We start from the raw sequence: 6,666 nt of genomic DNA, 5'->3' as shown, positions 1-6,666 counted from the left end.
TTTGTGAAATAACCTATCCCCAAATCCCAACTACTTATTCCCCACAAACCTTGGCAACCAAAACTTCATATTTCCTGATTTTAACATTTTTCTCCCCAGACTCTTCACCCTCTACATTAGCCATGATTCATATGAATGCAAAGTGGCTTTAGAAATCCTAATAGAGCAAGATGGTCTCCAGCAGTTTCTATCACTCACCAAAACAGTTTATTTCATGGGTAATGATTTTATTGATATGAAGAAGTGAATGTAACTCAGATATATGCTCTAAAGTTTTGTAGCATGGTTTCATCTTAGAAAAGGAAAAAAAAATCACACATGCTAGACATTAGTTGATTTCTTATAAAGTGTGCCTATATTCACTGGGGAAAAGCAGGTTAACGAACACTCGGTTATTATACTGAACAGCAATCAATTTAATGATCTGCAGTTTCCACTGTGGTTGTCTTCATTCCCAGTTTCAAGTTGATAAAGTTTTTTCTCACAATTTTCACTTGTGCTAAATATTTTTATAAGATGACATGAGCTTCCTGATCTCCATCTCTAAAAGTGGAGTTTGAGTTAATAGATTAAAATTTTAGAAAGCCTGCATTGGCTATAAATAACAATAAATTTTATAACTTAAAATCTAATTAACTATTGTGATAGGTTATTATTATTACTATCTTTATGAAAGCATGAGGTATTTGTACTCTTTAAAAATTATTGAGGTTTGTTTTATGGCTTACCAAAAAGTCTATTCTAAAGAATATCCCATGCTATTTTAAAAATTTTAAATTTATTTAAATTTTTAATTTTTGTAGATTTATAAGTGTAAGTGCAGTTTTCTGACATGGATATATTGTGTAGTGGTGAAGTCTGGACTTTCAGTGTTGCTGTCACACACATAGTGTACGCATTAAGACACTCATCTTAATTTCTCATCCCTCAGTCTCCTCCCACTTTCCCCACTTCCAATTCTCCAGTGTCTATTATTCCACGCTCTATGCCCATGTGTATATACTATTTAGCTCCCACTTATAAGTGAGAAAATGTAGTATTTGATTTTATTGGATTTTATTTCTGAGTTATTTTACTTAAGATAATGGCCTCCAGTTCCATCCATGCTGCTGCAAATGACACCATTTTATCCCTTTTTATAGCTGAGTTGTATTCCATTGTGTGTTTGTGTGTATATATATATGTGTGTGTGTGTGTGTATATAAATATATGCACAGTATATATACTCTGTATACCCACAGTATTTATATACTGTGTGTGTGTATATATATGTACATACATAGTATATATATACTACATACATAGTATATACTTTTATTTTTTGTTGCTTTTAGTCTCATATATACTATGTATATATATACTATGTGTATATATATAATGTGTATATATATACTATGTTTATATATATAATTTGTATATATATAATGTGTATATATATACTATGTGTATATATAATGTGTATATATATACTATGTGTATATATAATGTGTATATATATACTATGTGTATATATAATGTGTATATATACTATGTATATATAATGTGTATATATATATACTATGTATATATAATGTGTATATATATACACTATGTGTATATATAATGTGTATATATACTATGTATATATAATGTGTATATATATATATACTATGTATATATAATGTGTATATATATACACTATGTATATATAATGTGTATATATATACACTATGTATATATAATGTGTATATATACTATGTATATATATACACATAGTATGTGTATATATATACACATACTATGTGTATATATATAGTATGTGTATATACATATACACATACTATATATATATACACATACTATGTGTGTATATACACACACACACACACACGCATATATATATAACACTTATACACACCACTTTTTTTTTAATCCAGTTATCAATTGATAACCACTTAGGTTAATTCCATACATGTTATTGTAAATACTGCTGCAGTAAACATGTGAATGCTGATGGGGCCTCTCACCAGGCCCCACCTCCAACACTGGACACCACATTTCAACATGAGATTTAAAGGGTACACATATTCAAATCATATCCGACTCATAGGTGCTGTGATTTTGAAATCTTTCATCTTTTTTTATGTTCCAGAGTGTTCTTTGTTATTTTATGTTTTTTTTAATGTATTATGGTAGCGTACATTTAAGCTACATTTTTTCCTAAGAAAATTTTGGATGCCGCTTCATTGTTATTTGGTATTGAATATTGCTGGAGAAAAAAAAAACCTGTGTTTTACTGCTAGTATAACACATTCTTTCTAATTTCACTGACTGTAAAGATCTCTAATCAAAGTTCAATGGCATGGGATAGAGCAACACAATTTCTTTTAATTAAATATTAAGTGTATCAAAACAACAACAACAAAATAGAGTAATGGAGCAGCACCAATACATACAAAACTCAAAACTGTTACTTTGTAAATAAGTTCTCATATTTACTAGTAATAATGTGAAAAAATTAATGTTAGAGATGCAGCCGAAGACTCCCTCTTAAGTGTGAATTGTTCTGTCATTTGTGTTTGATTTTGTTTTTTATAATTAAACTTTATCTTGAGTAAAATACCATACTTAAGTACAATTTTATATGTTCATATAGGTATTGTGTATGTGAGTTCCATCATCTATGAATTTTTCCTTATGTACATTTTGATGTTGCTTTCCTTTTTCTTTATTAAATTTTGGAAACTCTTATATAACAAGATATAATAATGCAGATTATTTGCATTTTATATATTTTTCAGGTACTATTTATTTTATTTTTGTTGCTTTAAGTCTCATTTAAACTGTATGTGTTTTTTAGTTATGTAGTCAAAATAATCAACCTTTTTTCTCTGTGGTTCAAGAGTTAGAACCGGCACATTAGAAAGAGATTCCTGTGATTTCACACTGTCTGGAGCCTCAGCTAAGATGGTTTGAAAGGTTTGAGCTCTAATTCCCAGAGCCTTCATTCACATCTGGCATTTGTACTGGATGACCCAAAGCTACATTCAGCTGAGACTGTTGAACACAGTCTTGGAAAGAGTGTGGACTTTCCTTGTGTCTTGAGCTCCCACGCATTATGGCAGGTTCTGAGAGGCAGTGTTCCAAGAAGGAGTAATCTGAGAACCAGTGTTCTAAGAGAGCCAGGAAGAAGCTGCATATCTTCTACTGACTCAGACTAGAAGTCACACATTATGGACTGAATATTTGTGTCCTCACTCCAAACTTTCAAGCATTGAAATCCTGTCCCCAATGTGATTATTTTAGGAGGAGTGGCCTTTGGGAAGTTTTTCAGCCATCAGGGTGGAGCCCACCAGAATGGGATTAGTGCTCTTATAAAACAAGGCTACAGAGAGCTTTCACACCCTGCTCTCAGCCATGTGAGGATACAAGGAAAAGATGGACAATTGCCAACCAGGAAGTGGGGCCTCACCGGACACTGGATCTGCTGGCACCTTAAACTTGGACTTCCCAGCCTCCAGATGTGTGATCTGTGACTAATACCTTTGTGTTGCTCAAGCCTGTGGTATTTGCTTATAGCAGCCCATGCTGATTAGATACCAAATATCATCACATTTTCTTGTATATAAGTAATATGACCAGCTTAAACTCAACAGAGAGGGATTCAAATTTTCCTCTTGAGGAGAGAGTGGCAAGGTTCTAGAAGAGTGTGCAGATGGGAGATACCGCTGTGGCCCCAACAGGAAAATGCATTCTTCACATGTGATCTTTTTTGTCTTAGTAGCATTTAGGGTCGCCTGAATTTTTACATGTTTATTGGTTATTTGCTTAATTTCCTTTCTCCACACAAATAAAATAAAAGCTTCACATGGGTGGGAAGGTGTATGGTTCATTTGGTTCACTGGTGCATCATCACTAGTGACTAGAAATTGGGTAGCTACAGCAGGTATTTATGCTCTGCGTGTCAGTACCTATGGGCTAGTAGAGTGTTTCCCAAACTTTTCATGTAGATGACACACACTGGTGTATAATATTATCTATCGTACTGGGGAAAAGAGAAAATGTTGTTCATAACTGGAGGTGAGTAATTCAGCGTCTTTGAGAACTGTACACCTGTCCTAAAATCCTTGATGGTGCAAGAACCCAGTTCTCCACATCTGTCACTCATTCTCTTGATTTCTAGAAATATGAGAAAAATGAGAATATAAAATTCTCAATTGTTGCCTCTATCCTACTGTCTCTAAATTATACCCTTCAAGGAGTCCTTTTAGATTCACGGTATGATGTATAATTCTTTTTTTCACAAAATTCTCTTTGAACTTCTCTTTCTTATTTCCTATCTTGTTATTTCTGTATGTTGCATTAGGAATGATTTAATTAAATATCTCTTTAGCGATCTCTCATCTACTGTACATTTCTACGTGGAGATATTTTAAAAATTAGTGGTATATTTTTAATGCTAGAAAATGCACTTTTTTTCCCTCAAAGACAGCCTGGTCCTTGCCTTAAAGTATATATCTTGCCATACACAATACATTCTTCCTGGAATTTTTATTTAAATACTGAAAACTGATTTTTTAAAAAAATTAACAACTTTGGAGAGTAAATTTAACAGTTTATTGCATCTTTGATTCTCAACATAGACAAATACTTTTGTTCTTTAATATTATAGTAAATTATTTCTTAGTAATAATTATTTTGTTATTGTAGCAATGCAAATCTCATGGTCTAGAGTAATTGTGTGTTGTAGTTTTCTGGTTGACTATAGGTAGAATCTACTATGTTCATATAAATATATAAAATTGTATATATGTATATACATACATAGCTCATGCATGCATGCACTTTTTTTTATTCTTTCAACATTCAAGAATGATTTCTGTGTCCCTTTCCTAGTATATTCTGGCCTCACTAAGTAGTGTGATTTGGCACCACCACAAGCATTTTGGAATTACGTTATAATGCTGAAAATGTCCTATAAGACAATGTTAAACTGCTGGGGGCCTTTCCTACTGCTACCCAGTCCTTTGACTGGATATTTTCCTGTTAAGTTTTGTATTGATAGGAAAGCACATCAGTGGACCCAGTTACATATTGAAGGGGTCCAGAATACACCACTGCGGCCAAAATAAAAATAAAGAATGATTTCAAATAGAAGGCATTTGAGTTCCTGAAATCTCTCATCTGCCCAAAAGCAGAGCCTTCCAGAAGAATGAAAAGAACACAATTATGATAAATTTCCTCCCAAAAGCAACCAGGCAAGATTGACTGTTACTGGAGATGAGAAGTTTCTACACCACCTGAAACCTACATTGCCACAGAACTATCTTATCTCCCCTCTGTTCTCCTAAGGGCTTATTTATCTTCCCAAATAGTCATTTGTTTTCTCTTAAGTACCATTCTCTCCAACCTCTTGCCCTATTAAGATGGTATATAAACCACAAATCTAACTATTCCTATGAGTCATATATTTTTCTGTGAATTTTCGTTCAAATATAATTACACGTATTTGTTTTTCTAATCTATCTTTTGCCAGTTTAATTCACAGGTCTTCAATCACAGAACCTAGGAGGGGTGAGAAAAAAGTATTTCTTCTCTGAAAGTATGACTATATTTCTGACTTTCTAGCTAGTTAGGATAAGAGGACCTATCACTCTTTTTCTTTCAATCTTTAAACCTCTGTTCTTCAGCTTCTTAGGCTTATACCAATTGCATAAAACCATTAGGACAGGCTCTTAGCTTTAATTAATTTTATTACATGATGCTTGAGTTTTCTCCAATGTGTGTGCAATGCAAAATTTTTCCTTTCTTGTTTCCAAGACAAAATATGTATATAAAACTTGATTTGTGGGCAGGCGCGATAGTTCACGCCTGTAATCCCAGCACTCTGGGAGGCTGAGGCAGGCAGATCACTTGATGTCAGGAGTTCAAGACCAGCCTGGCCAACATGGTGAAACCCCATCTCTACTAAAAATACAAAAATTAGCTGGGCATGGTGGCACATGCCTGTAATCCCAGCTACTCAGGAGGCTGAGGCTGGAGAATCAGTTGAGCCCAGGAGACGGAGGTTGTGGTGAGCAGAGATCACGTCATTGCACTCCAGTCTGGGCGATAGAGTGAAATTCCATCTCAAATAATAATAATAATTATAATAATAATAATAATAAGAAGAAGAAGAAGAAGAAGAAGAAGAAATAAAACTTCATTTGTTTTCACAGTTTTTCCAGGACTGCAAATCATTTCATTAGAAAGACAGGAATTGGGGATCAAGTCAAATGATAATATTAGTTGGAAAACTTCACTATTATGTTATGTCTTTTTTTCTGTTTTATTTGCAGTACCACAGTTATATGTATATTTTATTATCTGTGTAGCCTATCTTCATTATCCTCTTTATTTAATTATTTTAACATTATTTCCGATAATCTCAAGATTGTTTTCACAATGTGTATTTATTTTTCTGCCAATGTATTCAATTTATAACTGAATATTATTTTAGCTTACATTCAAGTTATTTTATCCTTATTGTTTTATTTGATATCTTTGAAATCTTGTGTTTTATCTCAACATGTTATATTGTCAAAGGTTATATACTGAGTTTTCACATCAGTAAATTTATTCTTATATCACTTTATATTGTTATATATGAATTATAGATTTGTTTGCATTCCCATGGGTTATAATTAT

Source organism: Homo sapiens, chromosome 5 (genome assembly GCF_000001405.40).
Source record: "Homo sapiens chromosome 5, GRCh38.p14 Primary Assembly".
Classification (NCBI taxonomy): domain Eukaryota; kingdom Metazoa; phylum Chordata; class Mammalia; order Primates; family Hominidae; genus Homo; species Homo sapiens.
Note: the sequence above shows the minus strand (reverse complement) of the source record.